Source organism: Homo sapiens, chromosome 5, assembly GCF_000001405.40.
Source record: "Homo sapiens chromosome 5, GRCh38.p14 Primary Assembly".
In the NCBI taxonomy this organism is placed as follows: Eukaryota; Metazoa; Chordata; class Mammalia; order Primates; family Hominidae; genus Homo; species Homo sapiens.
In genome coordinates, this window is record NC_000005.10 from 78,599,806 (window position 1) to 78,618,005 (window position 18,200).

Genomic DNA, 18,200 nt, shown 5'->3' on the forward strand with positions numbered 1-18,200 from the left:
CATTCTGAATGCTTCCCATCCCTTAAAATCTGAGATTTTTCAAACTATTCCCCAAATTATTGGTAGTTTCTGGAGTTCTCTTTACATAGTACCTGAAAAGACAAATTTTTGAAGTGACGATTCAGAGTCAAATCTCTGACTACAAGAAAATTTTAAGTGATCAGGAAAATCTTGTAACTTTATAGCAACTAACCTCTCACTCAGATTAATAATGAACATGCAATATACCCTTCAGAAAGAGCTACTTCCCAAGAAAGCCGGGGAGATCAAACAACAGCTTATTCATGGTGAAAATTATTTTGAAAGACTAAAGTTGATAGCATTCCACCTACTAAGTTCCTGAATAGTTCTAAAAATTTCAGGATGAGGTTCTTCAAGATAAGCCTTTCAAGTAAAAAATTTACAAATATATTGTTGTCAAGCGAGCAAACTAGATACCAATTCTAACAAAAGCTCTGTTATTTCATGTTATTCTCCCCATAGATGGCCACACCAAAGTTTCAAAGTAAGAGTTTATCAGTAAGCTCTTCAGTTTGGGGTTACAGGTGATTAAAAAAAAAATTAAAATTACAGCCTGGCTCAAAAGACAATTCCTCCACTTTCTGAGTTTCAAATATCAAATCATAAAACTTTCAGCAAGAGGCCATGTGCAGTGGCTCACACCTGTAATCCCAGCACTTTGGGAGGCTGAGGCAGGTGGATAACCTGAGGTCAGGAGTTCAAGACCAGCCTGACCAACATGGAGAAACCCTGTCTCTACTAAAAATACAAAATTAGCCAGGCATGGTGGCACATCCCTGTAATCCCAGCTACTCAGGAGGTTGAGACAGGAGAATCACTTGAACCCGGGAGGTGGAGGCTGCGGTGAGCCAAGATCATGCCATTGCACTGCAGCCTGGGCAACAAGAGCGAAACTCCGTCTCAAAATAAATAAATAAAGCTTTCAGAGAAATAAATGACAAGCAGACAATATACTTAACGTCCTCAGAGAGATACTACTAACAAAATAGTATGAAGGAAGTTGGTAACTAAAGTCAAAGGTTCTGGCTGAGAAAACACTTTCCACAATGGAACATAAATAGCAGATGACCAGGACAATGTTTTATTTTGGCCTGTGTCTGAACTCAAATTAGCTGTTTAAAAAAAAGTTAACTGAAACTCCAAAAACACTAGAAAGTAAAAGAAAATCGGATTTAAATCTGCCCAACACTTGACCAGCATGTGTGCCATTTGCTCCAACCCCACATCAGAGTGACCCTGCAGGCCCTGGGGGTACTCAAGTCCAAAAGATCAAGTAACAACAGGCAGGGAAGCCTCAGAGGAAAAACTGTGAAAACACAATAAAGTAGAACAATTCCTACCATTTGGCCTAGTGATGAAAGGAGAAATGAGGTGTCACTGAGGATGATAAATATTTGGACCCTTGACTTCTCTGTGAGGATAAAGTAACAGAACAAACATCTTTTCTCGAAGGGATGATTTGGTGTGCCTTGAGATTTACTAAGCTGAGATGATTCAGCCATGTTCACAGTTGAGAAGGCAGGTCCCAGAGCAGACAGTACCAAGAATGTACAGACATGGCCCACTCACTGAATTCCTCTGTCCAGGGGAAGTTCTCACTAGCAATGTGAATTATTCTCATGTTTGTATGTAATTAATATTGATGGTGAAGGGTCCCTGTAAGTTAGGCAGCCTCCCCCAAAAGGAACTGTTTTTATTCTTTAAGAACAAACTAATAACGAGTAAATCTAATAAGACTATAAACCATGTCTGTGTAGCAAATTTATACCACCAGTGAATTCAACAGCACTAGAAGGGAAAGAAATCATTCCAGCTTCTCACGCACTGTCTCTAGGGTGGGCTGAACACAGGATAAAATCCTCTACCTTGGCTGCATTCTCATTAGGCCATCTGCAAACGTGCTGCAGAAAGAAGAGAAGCCAGAGGACTTGGAGGGTGGAGAGGCTGGGGGGAATGCTCCTGCTCTAACTTTCAGTCTCTTCATGGGAAAGTCATTTCCCTCAGAGCCTGTGTTCATCCTGCACTGGAAACACAGCTGTGGTCACCACATCCCTAGTTAAACACTGCTCCACAATCATAAATACTGCTGCTGTCAGTAGGAAGGAGTCAATGGGTGTGGGGAAGTTTCCCTTAAAATAAAAAAATTAAAGACTTTTAAAAAACTGTATTAATGTGGAAAAAATACGCAGACACAACTTTAGACTTCCCCCTACTCCTCTCAAAAAAACTCATGAAATATGGTACTACTTTGAAAAGAAGTTCCACTGAAATTTCCAGAAAAGGCAGAGTATACTTATCTGATGTATACTCTGGAGAGAGAATGACAAATCATTAACCTGAAAGTGTACACAAGGTTAAAGGAGATGATGATGGCAATGAAGAAAGGAAAAAAGAAAAAAAAATAAGGCCCAATGATGTTGACAACTTCTTTGACTTTTTGAAATTAGCTGTTTGTAAAATAGAAAGATTTCTGTTAATGTCACAGAAACATGAAAGATGCAGTATTTGCAAAACCGAAACAACTTAAAATTCTTATCCACCAGCTTCACTAAAGGCATTTTATTAAGCTAAGGAATACAGGATTGAAAGAAACATATCCTTCTCAAATTTTCCATTCTTTCACCCGAACAAAAAAGTATGGCACCAGAAAAGAATGGTATAAGGTTACCACATAGACATGATTGATTTAGATTTAGTCTTCATTTGTTTGTTCTTTAAGAACAAACACCTCCCATAGGGGAGTGAGTCTGACTCACAGGGACCCTTCACCATCAACATCAATTCGTATAGAAATCTGAGAACTTATCCTGGGCAGATAAGTTCTGGAATTCAGTGAATACACCCAACAGGACACCTAGAGCCCAAGGCCTTGGGGAAACAACCTGCCAATGCTGCCTGCAACCCAGCCCAGAGGTCTACACCACTTGCCCTGGTCAGAACCAATCATGGCAGCTCTCATTTATTGAGCCTTATGAGCCGGGCCCATGCAATTAATCACTTCATAGCAATTATCTTATTTAAACCTTACTACCACCCACAATGAGGTAGGGTTTTGTTTTGTTTTGTTTTGTTTTGTTTTGTTTGAGACGGAGTCTTGCTCTGTCACCAGGCTAGAGTGCAGTGGTGCGATCTCAGCTCACTGCAACCTTCGCCTCCTGGGTTCAAGCCATTCTCCTGCCTCAGCCTCCTGAATAGCTGGGACTACAGGCGCGTGCCACCACACCCAGCTAATTTTTGTATTTTTTTTAGCTGAAACGGGGTTTCACCATGTTGGCCAGGATGGTCTCGATCTGCTGACCTCGTGATCCACCTGCCTCGGCCTCCCAAAGTGCTGGGATTACAGGCATGAGCCACCATACCTAGCCGAGGTAGGTATTATATGCATTTTAGCAAGATGGAAACTGAGGCTCCGCAGGGTTAAGTAACTGACTTGGATGTCACAACCTGTGCTCTTAACCACTACACTGAATTTTCTCATTTATTGATTAGCCTACAGCAAGCAAAGTCTCAATTCAGATATCTGAAAACTGTTATCCCCCATCAGTAAAAAGGGTTTAAACCTCCAAGTCGATTCTTTTTTCCTTCCAGTTGTTTTGTTCTTTCTCATTATATGTCCTCAGAGGGCTCTTGAAACAAATGGGAACTAGCAACATGGAATGAGAGCTACGAATGAGTCCATACCCTTTACCAGAAACTTCTCTTTGGAGAAATATATCCGCAGGAATGGACCCCAAGAGAGGGGGAAAAGCAATCTACTTAAAGATGTTTGCTGGCCGGGCATGGTGGCCCATGCCTATATTCCCAGCACTTTGAGAGGCTGAGATGAGAGGATGGCTTGAGCCCAAGAGTTCAAGACCAGCTTGGGAAACAAGCAAGACCCTATTCTACTAAAAAATTTTTTTCAGTTAAAAAAATTTTTAAAAAAACACACAGATGTTTGCAGCATTATTTATGCCAGCTTCAAACTGGAAAGACCTCAAATACCCTAATTTGGGGTTAGCTAAGTACACTATGACACATACAATGATGAAATACTAAATGAGCTATTCAAAATGAAGCAGAATGTGGGCCAGGTGCAGTGGCTTACATCTGTAATCCCAACATTTTGGGAGGCTGAGGCAGAAGGATTGCTTGAAGCCAGGAGTTTGAGGCCAGCCTGGGCAACACGGCAAGACCCTACCTGCCTGGGCAACATAGCAAGATCCTATCTCTAAAAAATTAATTAATTTAAAATGAGTAGAATGCAGTTAGTGCAGATACATGGAATGTAAAATTATAATAACACTAAATATTTTAAAGCAATACTATATACCCACCACTTAAAACCATAAAATGGTCCCACATAGATATAATATCAGAAGCAAAGTCAGGCCGGGCATGGTGGCTCATGCCTGTAATCCCAGCACTTTGGGAGGCCGAGGCAGGCGGATCACCTGAGGTCAGAAGTTCGACACCAGCCTGGCCAACATGGCGAAACCCCATCTCTACTAAAAATACAAAATTGGCTGGGCGTGGTGGTGGGCGCCTGTAATCCCAGCTACTCGGGAGGCTGAGGCAGGAGAATGGCTTGAACCCGGGAGGCGGAGGTTGCAGCGAGCTGAGATCATGCCACTGCACTCCTGTGCTCCAGCCTGGGTGACAGAGCAAGATCCCGTCTCAAAAAACAAAAAAAGAAGAACCAAAATCAGAAATGTAAATGAGAATTCAATCTGCTATAGTCTCTTTTTTCTAGTTGTGAAACTAATAAAGAAGCCCAAACTGTATGAAAAGTTCAAACAGAGAATAATAATAGATTGCTATGTGATCCAAGAAACTTGTATTCATGACAACACTACATGCAAACCCTGATAACTGAAATTCATTTTCTTAATTTTTGTTATTACTGTACCTGTCTGCACTGTAGCTTCTTGACGGCTGGCTTTAAAATAAAGTTGACAGTATCTCTGGGGAAAGTAACAAGGTACAAAGTTCTACATCAGTGCTGCTCAGAAAACATTCCTTTAATCCTTTTGTTTATTCTATTCCCTGCATTTATGAACTCTCTAAATCCCTTCTACTTAAACCACAGCACTAAAGCACTAGGATTAAAGACGTGGTGAATTTTCTAACAGAATGTACTTAACTTTATGTCTGGGCAATGTATTTGCACAGTTTCACACTTTAGTGATTTGCTGAATGAACCTGTACAACATAATGTGCCTGAAAAACTCATCTTTCAAAATTGTTTTATCAGAAAATATGACAGGAGATTTCCATTACTTCCCATAAGAAAAGGCTGTCCAGCCCCACTGCAGACTGAGTGTGTGTTACTGGGCTTCGAAAGCCAAGTGCAGAAGCCATGGCTTGGCTTGGGTTTTCGTTATATTTCAAACATTATTAAGGAGGCCATTTTAATGAAAAGTGTTACAATTAATTGTTACCTCCTTTGAGTGGCTAAAATCAGACATTCTATAGGACACCCAGGCAATCAACGCAACTTCAAAAGCTGGTGGGCATCAGGATCAAGACCAGCACTGATGCACTGCCTGGACTCTGAGCAGGGTGACTTGTGTCTGGGAAATACATGGCCCTGACAGGGGCATCAGGGGATCTGTTTCATTGGCGACTCCTCTGTGCCACCATAGGCTGACAATCACCCCTTCCAGCCTCTTTCAAAATACACATCAGGATTTTTAGGGTCTTTTATGTCATTATTACCAACCCCATGACCATGTTACCACCTTGAACTGGATAGAATGTACACAGGTCACCTTACAACATAGGCTTCTAAGATAAGTGAAATCAAAGATAAGGCAGTACCTTTACACTTCTACCTTAAAGTGTCAATTTTAATTAAATAATTCTTACTGAGCCACTTTCTCCTTTGGTCTATCACAAAATTTCACTCAAGCATGAAGACACAACAACCTGCAGATTATTTTTGGATTAATCATCTCTCCATCTTAAAATTCCCCAGAATTTAATATAATCCAAAGATGAATCATCTCTTCATAGTACTGTCAGCAGACAATATTAATCATCTTACATTTACAATCTGGTGTGAGGTTCTTCCAAAGCTTTCACACACATGCTATTTAACCCTCACGATCCCCATATAAAGTGAAATTGCTTTCGTCAGCCACACTCAATAACACATTTTACAAAATTAACTTCTCTAATATGAGGACTGATGAAACAATAACAAAATTAAACAGGTGTCACCTACAAAAATTCTGTGCTCCTATGCAGAGCTCAATTTGATTCAACTGATACTCACCAAGTGCCCACTCTGCCTTAGGCAACGTGCTCCTGGGTCAGGTTTCTTGAGGGGAACAAAACTTAACAAAATAACCTTATGCCAGTCCCTAAACATTTGTTTTTTAAAAACTGGTCCATGAAATCCAAAAGTCTAGGGCCTCTATATTTGAAATTTTGTATTGCACCTTTACTTTCCCAATGCCTAAGCGACCATCTGGTTTCAGATGAGCATCTCTAGAAGCAGCCTTCACTTTTTTATGCCACCAGGGATTAGGCAGTGAGTTACTGTGCTCAGTGCTATTTAATGTACAAGACAGAAATTTATTAAATGGCAATGAAGTAGTAATTACTAAACAGTTCCCTAGTGGCTCAAAAAGTCGGTAATTAAATACCACTTAAGACTGAGAGTTATTAAAAGGCACTAATGGAACAGTTTATTAAACAGTACCTTAGTGTCCTCAAAGGGTCATTTCCATACAACTCTCCATGATCAGACAGTCTCTGGGGAAATCCAGCTGTTTGCCGAGGGTGGGCGGGGGTGAAATGTGAATTATCACATAGTAGCCAACTCCAGCCAGAAACCCTGGCATTTGGCTGGACAGCTGAGCAAGAATGTATTTGTTTTATTTTTTTGACAGTCTTGCTCTGTCGCCCAGGCTGGAGTGCAATGGCGTGATCTTGGTTCACTGCAACCTCCACCTCCCAGGTTCAAGCAATTCTCCTGCCTCAGCCTCACAAGTAGCTGGGATTACATGTGCCAACCACCACGCTCAGCTACTTTTTAAATATTTTTAGTAGAGACGGGGTTTCACCATGTTGGCCAGGCTGGTCTTGAACTCCTGACCTCAAGTGATCCACCCGCCTTGGCCTCCCAAAGTACTAGGATTACAGGCATGAGCCATACACAGGCAAGCCATCCCCCCTTGCAAGTCCCTGGCATTCTGATTTGCCTTGCAGCCTAAGTGCTGGGTGTAACAAGACAACATCCCCAACATGGTCCATCACAGTCTGTCTCTTTTACTAATCACATCCCAAGATGTAGTGTATCTTCTTTTTTTATTTTTCACATGGAGTTTCCCTCCTGTTGCCCAGGCTGGAGTGTAATGGCATGATCTCAGCTCACTGCAACCTCTCTGCCTCCCAGGTTCAAGCAATTCTCCTGCCTCAGCCTCCCAAGTAGCTGGGATTACAGGCACCCGCCACCACCTCCGGCTAATTTTTGTATTCTTAGTAGAGACGGGGTTTCACCATGTTGGCCAGGCTGGTCTTGAACTCCTGACCTCAAGTGATCCACCCCCTTCGGCCTCCCAAAGTGCTGGGATTACAGGCATGAGCCACCACGCCCAGCCAATGTAGTGTATCTTCTACCATAGGTTTGTATTTCGCCATTCTGACATGAATAAAAGACATTTAAAAATAAGTTATGATCTAATTACAAACAAAATTTGCCATATTTCCTCTGAGAACCTCCTCCTAAATGTCTTTTTTGTGCATCTTAGTTACCCCCATCCAGTTGGTTCCACCTCTCATTCCTGTTTTATCCTAGACTAGCCTCTTCACTAGCTGGCTCTTCCCTGTAGTTACTGACCCCAATCTTTCCAATCAAAAGTCAGCATGAAAAGTCCATCTCCTCTAGAAGGCTTTACCTGATAAGACAAGACACTGAAAAATCTTTCAAATACGGCTTCAATTTCCAAGTAAGTTTACAAAGAAAAGTGGTAGGTTTTTTTTCCCCTAAGCCGAAGGTACCTATGCATCTTGCTTGTTGTTGCAATAGTCTGAACATGCAAAGTCTATCTTTGGTAGATCTATGTAATGCCCAAAGGGAGCACAAAGTGAATGTTAAATATGAAATCACTCTAGGCAGTAAAAGAACACACACTAAAAAGCTTTTTAAGAAGATATGTGATATCCTTACCATTAGATGAACTCAAGAAAGTGTAAAAGAAAGATAAGCAATTAAACAATGAACTGGTAAAAAGTTTCAGGTGACACCAGGGGATGGACAAATGAGATCAAGGAGATAAAGTTCAAAGAGGTGGAACAACAGGTCATTAATCACATGGATCTGGGAAAACCCTCACAGACTGAAAGGAGCAGAGAAAACATTCTAAAAGGAACCAGAGATGGTCATGAAAGCAGTGCTTCCTTAGCAGGAATGCCAGAATACTCACCTGAAGATTATACCTTCAAATAAGAATTATTTTTTAAAATGCTTATCAAATTACAAAACAGTATTTGCTACTTTCACTGACAAAAGCTCTCTTTAGCAAAGTTTTAGGAGCAATATGAAAATATGGAACATAACAGATTGCCCAAAATGGAGACTAATAAAGGGCACTGTTTTACTTACACAACCTCCATGTGACAATTATTTAAAATACAAGTCAAGCAAAGACATAACTGCATTCTAGAATAATATATGGGGAAATACAATCAGGCTATACAGTTTTGGTTTTTAACTACTGAAGCTTCAACATTCATCATTAAACTTCTCCCTAATTAGCGATCTAAATTCTATTTGCAAAAAAAAAAAAAAAGTGCCTAAAAACTCTCAGGTATTTAGTGACTTAAAATACATTAGAGAGGCTGGGCACGGTGGCTCACGCCTGTAATCCCAGCACTTTGGGAGGCCGAGGGAGGTGGATCATGAGGTCAGGAGTTCAAGACCATCCTGGCTAACATGGTGAAACCCCATCTCTACAAAAAATACAAAAAATTAGCCGGGCGCGGTGGCGGGCGCCTGTGGTCCCAGCTACTCGGGAGGCTGAAGCAGGAGAATAGCATGAACCCGGGAGGTGGAGCTTGCAGTGAGCCAAGACTGAGCCACTGCACTCCAGCCTAGGCGACAGAGCAAGACTCCATCTCAAAAAAAAAAAAAAAATACATTAGAGAATAACATTAAAGTCAGCAAGAGACTTTCCTTCTTTATGGGATAATAAAAAATGGCATGACCTTTCTGCAAGAGTTTGTCAACCTGCATGAATATCCAAAATGTTTATACTCTGACTCAGGAGTTTTAATCCACTTACTATCATATAATTAGACAAGTGTAGTACAAAGATGTTTAATGGAGCATTATTCACAACTGGAGAAAAATCCATCTATAAGAGATTGTGGCCAGGTACAGTGGTTCATGCCTATAATCCCAACAGTTTGGGCAGATCACCTGAGGTCAGGAGTTCTAGACCAGCCTGCCCAACATGGTGAAACCCTGTCCCTACTAAAAATACAAAAATTAGCTGGGTGTGGTGGCACAGGCCTGTAATCCCAGCTATTTGGGAGGCTGAGGCAGGAGAATCACTGGAACCCGGGAGGCAGAGGTTAAGGTGAGCCGAGATCGAGCCACTGCACTTTAGCCTGGGAAACAGAGCGAGACTCAGTCTCAAAAAAAAAAAAAAAAAAAAAAAAAAGAGAGAGAGCTTGCTTAAGTAAATTACAGCACATCTATACAATGGAATATTCTTCAGATATTAAAAATGAGGTGTCTCTAAACTCATGCCACATAAAGACTACCACAATCCATTGTGAAGAAAAGAAAACAGTGTTTTCTGATATGATCTCATACCTAAGGTTCTGAGGGTGTATATGTACATGATGATCATCAAAATATGGGCAACAACAATTTCTAGAAAATGGGTATTTGACATGGTTTGCAATTACTTGTACTTTTACCTATTCTTTGAATTTTCTACAATAAGCACTTTCTCTTTTGGACAGAAAAGAAACCAGAAAATTAAGCTCCTTTTATTTTGAAAGAAAAAAAGTCATTGGTGTACCTAAAAAAAAAAAAAAATTCTTTTTGTGGACAGAATAATAGCCATCCTTTATTTATAGGATGAAAATTCTCTGTCATACATCAGAAGCTCCGAATGGAAACAGCCTGACCTTCAGGCTGCTGAAACTCCTGCCCTGGGCAGCAGCTCCCAGCATTAATGGGAATCACCTACCTAAACCTGCCGGGGGATCAGAGTCACCTACCTAGCCTGCCAGGGGACTAGAGTCACTTACCTAGCCTGCCAGGAGATGAGCTGGGCATAGCTAGCTCCAGTCAGACCCCACTCAAGTCACCCCACCCCAGGCAGACCACCAGCCTCCCAGTCAGCAATGCTGACACCCACGCCACACTGTAGGAAAAGAGCCCTTGGGTGGACTCTGGGTCCCACCAAGGGCAGGCAGGAATGCAGGGTCCTCATTCAGGAACCGCCAGCTGGACCTTCTGCATTCAGCACATGTTCCTGTCTGAGAAGGAAAGGGCTACTAAACGGAAACGTCTTCACGAAAAGGTCTGGGAGAAGAGAAAAGATCCAGATGCCTTGGGCTTGTTCCACTTTTCCATAGATGGAGCCACTGGGCCCCCAGGAGAGACTCGGTCCATGGAGATGAGTAAGCCAAATACTGGCAAGATTCCACTCGGAAGCCAAGGGCCTGCTGGGGACCCAGAACTGTGGTGTGCATGGGAGGATGGCCTGGTGAGCAGGAGAGGCCAGAAGGCCCTCTTCATGGGCTTCAAAAACCCAGGACACCAGCACATACGATATGAAGCAAAAAGCCTACGAATCCAAACAAACTCCAGGGAAAAGTGTGCCATCAGTAGTCCCGCTGGTACAGACTCTCCTCAAAATCCAGCCTCTAACAATGAAAGCAGCTAAGAAGAGTTACACTAGCTGTTGCTGTCCCCTCTCCCTCCCACGCTTGCTCCCTCCCTCCCACACCCTCCACCTTCCTCTCCTGTGCATTACTGAATCATTGCTGATCCATTTGAAAAATGGCCACATGCATGGACTGAACCAATATTCTGACACATATCATGTGGCAAAGAGGAGATGTCATTAGACCATAAGCAAAAAAAAAAAAGCATTGCACGGGCATTAACACAACATTTAAGTGTCCTCCTCAAGGAGCCACAGGCACAGGGAGTGGTGCAGCTCTGATTCAGTTAGGCTTTCACTGCTTTGTTACTGAGAAGGGAAAAAAAAAGTTCATTAACTGCTATAAGCAGACAGACAAAGGAGGTATAAATTCTTCTTCTAAGACAATTTTGTTTGGTCTTTAAAACCAAACAAAACATGATATAAGTGTCCACTAAGCAAGGGCTAAGAGTCCTTGCCCTGCTGTGGGAGAGCTGACAGCAGGCTGAGCTCAGTGCAGCACGCGTCCCCAGGCAGAGCACAGGCTGCTGTGAACTGTGGCCCAACTGCAGGGCCAGTCCAGGGCAGGGCAAGACCAGTGTGGGCTGAGGGGCAGGAGAAAGGCTCTCAAAGGAGAACTCCACCTGGGCTTTGAACTCTGTCCATTGTCAGCTTCTGCACTCCAGCAGGGCTCAGTGTCATCTTCTGACCCTGGCCTATGAGGTTTCTGGGCTCCCTGCTCAGTAATTCACATTCCAGAGCTTAAGGAGAGGATGCTGAGCTCAGCCCCTGGCCCCAGGAAGTCCCGCCAGAATCCTGGGGAAAAAGACTGGGAAGTCCCTCCGGAGAAGCCTGAGGGCTGAGGATCAGAAAGGCTTCAGGGCTGGGGCAGAAGGAGCCCAGAGGCAATTACTAAGGGGGATGGTGAAGCAGGCAGGACCAGATGACACCAGCCTAGGGAGTCTGGGAGGAATGTGGATTTTATCCTACCTGTGACAGGAGAAGACTGAAGATTTTAAGCAAGGGAGTGAAAGTGGTCTAATTTGCCACCTAATTTACATTTTTAAGAATTCTGAAAGCTGCTGTGTGTATCGCAGATCATGTAGGAGCACAAACTTTTTTTACAGAAAATCTATCGTTAAAACTCAGAATATACGGAGGCCACAAAGGGAGAAGTCTTTCTAATTCCATTTTCCCACATGTGATACAGACGAGTTCTGAGAACGCATGCACACATGGTAGGAGCTTCATGAGTTAAAAAGCCACAGTGCATTTTAAGACAGTCCTTTCTAGACAGTGTATTTCTCTCCGAAACAACGAAACAACTATTTTTATTTATTTGTTTCTTCTCCCAAAAGACAAAAGAGAATAGGAAGAGAGAAACAAAATATTACTTTATAGAAAAGGATTATGACATTCCATTACACATTAATTTGGTTAGCTGTTGGCTGACAATGGAGCATTTTTCCTACTATCTCCTACTTACTATTCAAACTGACTTTGTGAAGACTTCTCCCATCCGATTAAAGAGGGTTTTTTAATCTAGTTGAAAATTTTAATGAAAATATAAAAATCATCCTGATCTTTGCATAAATTTCCCTTTAAAAATTAAAAATAGGAAAATAGCCATTAAAACAAATCAGTAGTAGCAGAGTAGGATTTGCATCTTTCAGAACTGGAATGCCATTGTATAGTCATTCCTCCAGAACTCTGAAAATATGACTACTATTTATCCACAGCCTTCCCTAGGCACTTAAAGTGCTTTACAAATATCATCCTCAAAATAACCCCATAAAGAGAGGAGAGTTTGCTATAAAAGTTCATTGGGCATGAAAACTTGGCTCAGTTATTCAACAGCTTGATCCAAAAGCAATTATTAAAACTAATTTTTAACAGCAACAAAAATAATTTGGCTGAAAGAGTAAACTAATAAGCAGTCAACTACCTACCCATGGCACACTTCCTCTACATAAAGGCTGCCTTTCCTTGCCCCAATCCCCAGAATCACTTCTATGAAACCAGCTCCAGTAAACAGCGACAACCCAGAGGCCTGGTGCCAGGCGCAGTCTTCAAAGAGCTGGACTCCCTTTTACAGCAGCACTTAATCCTGCATTTAAAGTGCCCTTAAGGCTGGCACCAAATGAGCTGGGGAGACAGTGATTTCCTAATGAATTAAGGCTGAGCCAAGCTTCATAATGCATTAATGATGGTCCCCTAATAGTTTGAAGGTAGAGATTCATCCAGCCTCACCTCCCCACCCAGCTCTTCCACGTGCATAGCTGGTGATCTTGAAGTTCTCCTGGTAGACAAAGCACCAAGAAGATGGGTGGTTCCATGGAGCAGGCAGCTGTACACAGAAGCTAGTGCAAAGAATGCCAATAAGCCCTTTTCCAGGTGCCTCCTGAGGGGCAGGGGCAAGGCCAAGGAATGAGGCCAAGGCCACAGAATATACTGCTTAGAGGTCAACTTCCCTTATCAGCTTTCTACCTCTGTTGTGGGCTTGCTTCTCTCAAGACATAGGTAAGTTTCTTGGATGAGAAACAAATGCAGCTGGTTCTATAAGATCATGGCAAACTTGGAACATGCACTCATTTTTCTTGGTTCATAAATCCAGACTTATCCCACATACCTTAGAGGCAACCAGAAGTGACCAGGCAAGGAGATCGTCCCAGCCTTTTCACAGCATTGTATGGTGAGAAAAGGATTCACATCCCTGCTTTGCCACCGACTAGTAGAGTGCATTATTAACACAAGTCACTTTGCATCATTTACACAAGTCACTTATACTGAGCTTCTATTGCCTCATCTGTAAAACAGGTCTAATACCCCATAAGGTGGTTGTGAAGATTAAATGTATTAATGAATGGGCAGTGTCTGGAATAAAATAGATGCTAATTATCACTTTCTCCTGTTTGCATGAGGTCAACCTCCTCCTATTATCTGTAACTTTCACTGTTTATTACTCTCAGGTTCAAATTTTTAAATCCATTTGAAATGGACTATCCATGTCTATTTCATACTAAAAGAAAAGCCAGCCAGGATGATGATTTAAAACAGGCTTTCAATCAAGCAGAGCTGCAGTCCAAAATCCAGCTCTACCACTTACTTGGTTGTATGATCTTAGTAAAGTTGTTGAACTTCTGACTCAGATTCATCAGGTACAAAAAGGGAGAAGGGGGTTAATATCTCCAACAAAGGACTGATTATATGAAGGATAATGGGGAGGAATAAACAGCTATCTCTGTAAGAGAGCCCTGGTCAACATACTCCCTGGGGCTTAGGACACCCTAAGCAAATGCCACTTCATCACAATACTGTCTTGTCTTGGTCACCAGAGTACCCTACGGCAGCTGATGAACAGGCCCCTAGAAATAATGCCTGCTCACTGATGTTAAATTTGGCGCCGATGCTATGAGAAACACGAGTTAATGAAAGGGTTTAGCTCCAAGTTTTAAAAAGCTTCATGGGTGAAATATGGCTAGACAGTCTTTGCCCTGAATCTGATGTGGTCACCCTCAGCGTCCAGGGGCAGCCTGGCCTGATCTGCCTGGGCATTTATAGCTGGCCCCTTAGCAAGCAAGGTCCAACAGACAAATGCTACTAGAACAACTCTATCCACCTTCTCTGGCTTGGGAGTCTCCTTTTATTTCCACTAGGTCCCCAAAGGGTGGGAGATGGCAAGAAAGCTTGTTCTTTACCTGTACAATGAGCCTCTGGGTAAAGCTCACTCATTTTAAGAAAAAATAATCTACTTCTAAGCTCCACCTCTGGAATTAGAAAAGCAGTGTTAAATCAAACTGATACAAGTGGTTCTCACAGTTATCTGGCACATAAACCTACTGTTTCTATTACTACATGCCAGACTCTACCCATTTTATTGTTAAGTCTTTAGGAAACATTCTAAAATCATTTTGTTACATTTGAACTTAAACTTATGGTGGAACCCATATTGACTCTGCAAATATAAAAATAAGAGCATCAATACAGCTCATGTTTAGAAAAAGAAAAAAGGACTAAAAAATTTAGAAAAAAAAGTGACTTCGGACCCTTTCAAATTATATTTTACCAAAAAGAAGTAACTACTGAACACTTCAAACATGGCAGGTTCTGTTATAACCCAGTTGATCTTCACAAAAACCTATGAGATAACACTGGCTCCAATTTACAGATGAGGAACTGAAGCAAAGAAACTTCAAGTAACTTCCCAAAGATCACCTAGCTGGTAATTGTTAGGGCTGATTCCAAACCCAGGCAGTCTGGCTCCAAAGCCTGGGCTTTTTACTACTCTACTAGCTTGTTTTATCTTAGCCACATTTTAAAATCAAAGTTCAAGACTCTCTCCACCATAAACTGCAGAAGAGACTTTGACTTCCACCTACAATGGGGGCAGTATCAACATTTCAGGAGTTGATGTCTGTACAAGCATTTAGGATCCCTGGTCTCTATTCCCTGACAGCCTTTGGGCAAACCAATCCCCCTCCCACAGCCAAAAGCCTCTGGTGTGTGGAGTGTGGGGAAGGGAGAGAGGAGACGGGAGAAGCGAGAGTCCTGTCCCAGTTGAGAACCATCACGGTAAACAGAAGACGAAATCAAAAGGCAGCAAGAAAATTTATGCAAGAAATACCTGTTTATCAAGCAAAGGAAGATGAAAAAAAGGAAGGAGAGACACTGGGAAGATACATAACAGCATAACATATTTCTTCCCTCTTCCTACATCAAATCACATAATCTTAAACTGGTAATTAGACTAAAAACAATCCAAATTTTTAAAAAGTCATCAAGGCTCAATAGCTAACAGAAAACTGTTTTCTAAAAACAAATCCATATATGGTAGGCATTCTTCATCTGCTCTTTCATAAACTCTAAGCACAAGATTTCCAATTAACTTATGACCTGCCAGACATCTACAAACCTAGCCTCTTGATAGAAGCATCGTGAGAAGCCCTTTCCCTTATTCAGCCTAATCTAAAAGAACTCAGATTGTCCCAAAATACAAAACAAAATTTGATTCAAAACCTCATGCTGGGACTAGTAAGAACCTATACTATCATAAGGGAGCCACTCATTTGGCTCCATAAGTATAAATGACTAAGAAGGTCAAACTGAGGGATACACAAAAAATACAACACCCACACTCCTTCCTCAGCCTGTCCTCTCTTTTCGACCATCTGATAAGGGCAATGTTCTGGAAAGCAGTCACAGGTGACTCACCCAGATGACTCCACAGAAGAGAGGTTACCTTTGCAAAGCTGGTGCTAGGTAGGTTCTCAGGACCAGGAATGCTTACCTAACAGTTGCACTCTCTTCTGCAACTTGCTCACCCACACTCCTCCCTCTTGTCCTCCTTCCTTCTGCCCTCTGTTCTTCTCCTCCCCATCCTCCCATTCCCTTGGCAATCCAACCTCTTTTCCCAGGTTTTTGTTGTTGTTGTTGTTTTGGGGGTTTTTTTTTGAGATGAAGTCTCACTCTGTCACCCAGGCTGAAGTGCAGTGGCGCAATCTCGGCTCACTGCAAGCTCCGCCTTCGGGTTCACGCCATTCTTCTGCCTCAACCTCCTGAGTAGCTGGGACTACTGGTGCCCGCCACCTCACCCGGCTAATTTTTTTGTATTTTTAGTAGAGACGGGGTTTCACCGTGTTAGCCAGGATGATCTCGATCTGCTGACCTTGTGATCCAGCCGCCTCGCCCTCCCAAAGTGCTGGGATTACAGGCATGAACCACCGCGTCCATCCTCTTCCCAGGTTTTCTTCTTGACCACCCCGACTATGGATTGCTTCGGAAGACATTTTACATAAAAGTCACGAAAGAGGTTACAGTAAGAATTCCAAGGCAGTCATATCCAGATTTCAGAATACTATGCCAATAAATGCTCACCTCCCCTAATCCTTGCTCAGTGTGCTGATGTGTCCCAGAGGAGAAGGAAAAGGATGCTAGAAGGGATTTAGGAAGTCTAAGGACATGCAATTGTCACTGGCAGCCCTTCAGAGCCTTTGCTAGGAGAGAACTATTGCTCTCCTTGCAACACCTCAGTCAACAGTTCCTGATATGAGTCTGACTCTTCTCAATGACCCCAGCATTAACAGTGACACGCCTGATGTCCACAGCCCTGACAACCTGGACTGGTTTGCATTTCGGCAGAGATCTGCAAAAAGACAGCTTATCCAGCCCACCTGCCCTAATTAAGGAGAAAGATCCCTGCATATGGTTTGTTAATTCTGACTTTCTTGAAGCAAACCCTAGCTTCTGGAAGAACTCATAAGGTAGGCCTCAAAATCTGAAGTGTCACAAGTCCCTTTTAATGACAGTAATTATGACACTTCTAGAGTTTCTCTTTTTTTTTTCTTTTTTTTTGAGATGGAGTTTTACTCTTGTTGCCCAGGCTGGAGTGCAGTGGCTCAATCTCCGCTCACTACAACCTCCGCCTCCCAGGTTCAGGCGATTCTCCTGCCTCAGCCTCCTGAGTAGCTGGGATTACAGGTGCGTGTCACCACGCCCAGATAATTTTTTGTATTTTTAGTAGAGACGGGGTTTCATCATGTTGGCCAGGCTGGTCTCAAACTCCTGACCTTAGGTGATCCACCCACCTCGGACTCCCAAAGTGCAGGGATTACAGGCATGAGCCACCATGCCCAGCCTAGAGTTCCTTAAAAGGAACAGGAACTCCACACTTATGTGAAAGCTATTCGTTTTCTCTAAGAAAGAGGTAAGTTTGAATAATTATTTATTTTTCCACTCTCACCAGCTCAGCCTAATGGATAGTTTGTTCTACCTGCTTGTAGGCACACAGACATCCATCTGTGCACCCATGGGTGCAATTTTTCAACCTATACTTTAACACTGTTCACCTCCAGGAGACACACTTTTTAGGGTGCTTCCCTAAAAGGTGCTTCCAACCCCAGGGCTGGATTTAGGACAAGCCGATCTCATCTTGAAAGAATAACTGCAAAGCTCTTTCAAGCTGTGAACTTCAGGGAGGATCCACAGAGTTGCCTTAGAGTATGAGAGCAATAATTTAGGAGAGGGCGCCGGATGAAGGCAGGACTCTGACCCTACTCTCCAGATTAAACAGAACAACTCCACTTTTTAAAAAATAGTTGTCATAAGCAATATTTATTAAAATTAAAATATTTGTTAATAGTTTGATAGACTATGCCAAAGAGGCATTAAAGTCTGCAGAGTGGGGCAAAACTTATTCCCAGGCATCATGACCCTTAAAAAAATTCAGGGGCTGGGCGCGGTGGCTCACACCTGTAATCCCAGCACTTTGGGAGGCCAAGACAGGTGGATCATTTGAGTTCGGAAGTTTGAGAC

The 18,200-nt window shown here is 42.5% G+C and overlaps 1 protein-coding gene across 6 annotated transcripts in view, besides 1 other annotated feature; it reads right to left on the reverse strand.

Annotated features, from left to right (window-relative positions):
• LHFPL2 (LHFPL tetraspan subfamily member 2) overlaps window positions 1–18,200 on the reverse strand; it is a 163,543-nt gene that overhangs the window by 114,576 nt on the left and 30,767 nt on the right. Inside the window, exon 3 of one of the 6 annotated variants that reach the window (XM_024454321.2) lies at window positions 4,910–4,964. The exons of the other annotated variants lie outside the window; for them this stretch is intronic. The gene's annotated coding sequence lies outside the window, so the exon portion shown is untranslated. The remainder of the gene's footprint in view (window positions 1–4,909; window positions 4,965–18,200) is intronic. 6 annotated transcript variants of the gene reach the window in all.
• Window positions 16,051–17,250: an enhancer, noted in NCBI's record as "CDK7 strongly-dependent group 2 enhancer chr5:77911679-77912878 (GRCh37/hg19 assembly coordinates)". NCBI's record gives its function as "activates an origin of replication core promoter dependent on BRD2, BRD4, P300/CBP, MED14 and CDK7 cofactors, with strong dependence on CDK7, by STARR-seq in HCT116 cells {active_cell/tissue: HCT116}" and the evidence as "EXISTENCE:reporter gene assay evidence [ECO:0000049][PMID:35650434]".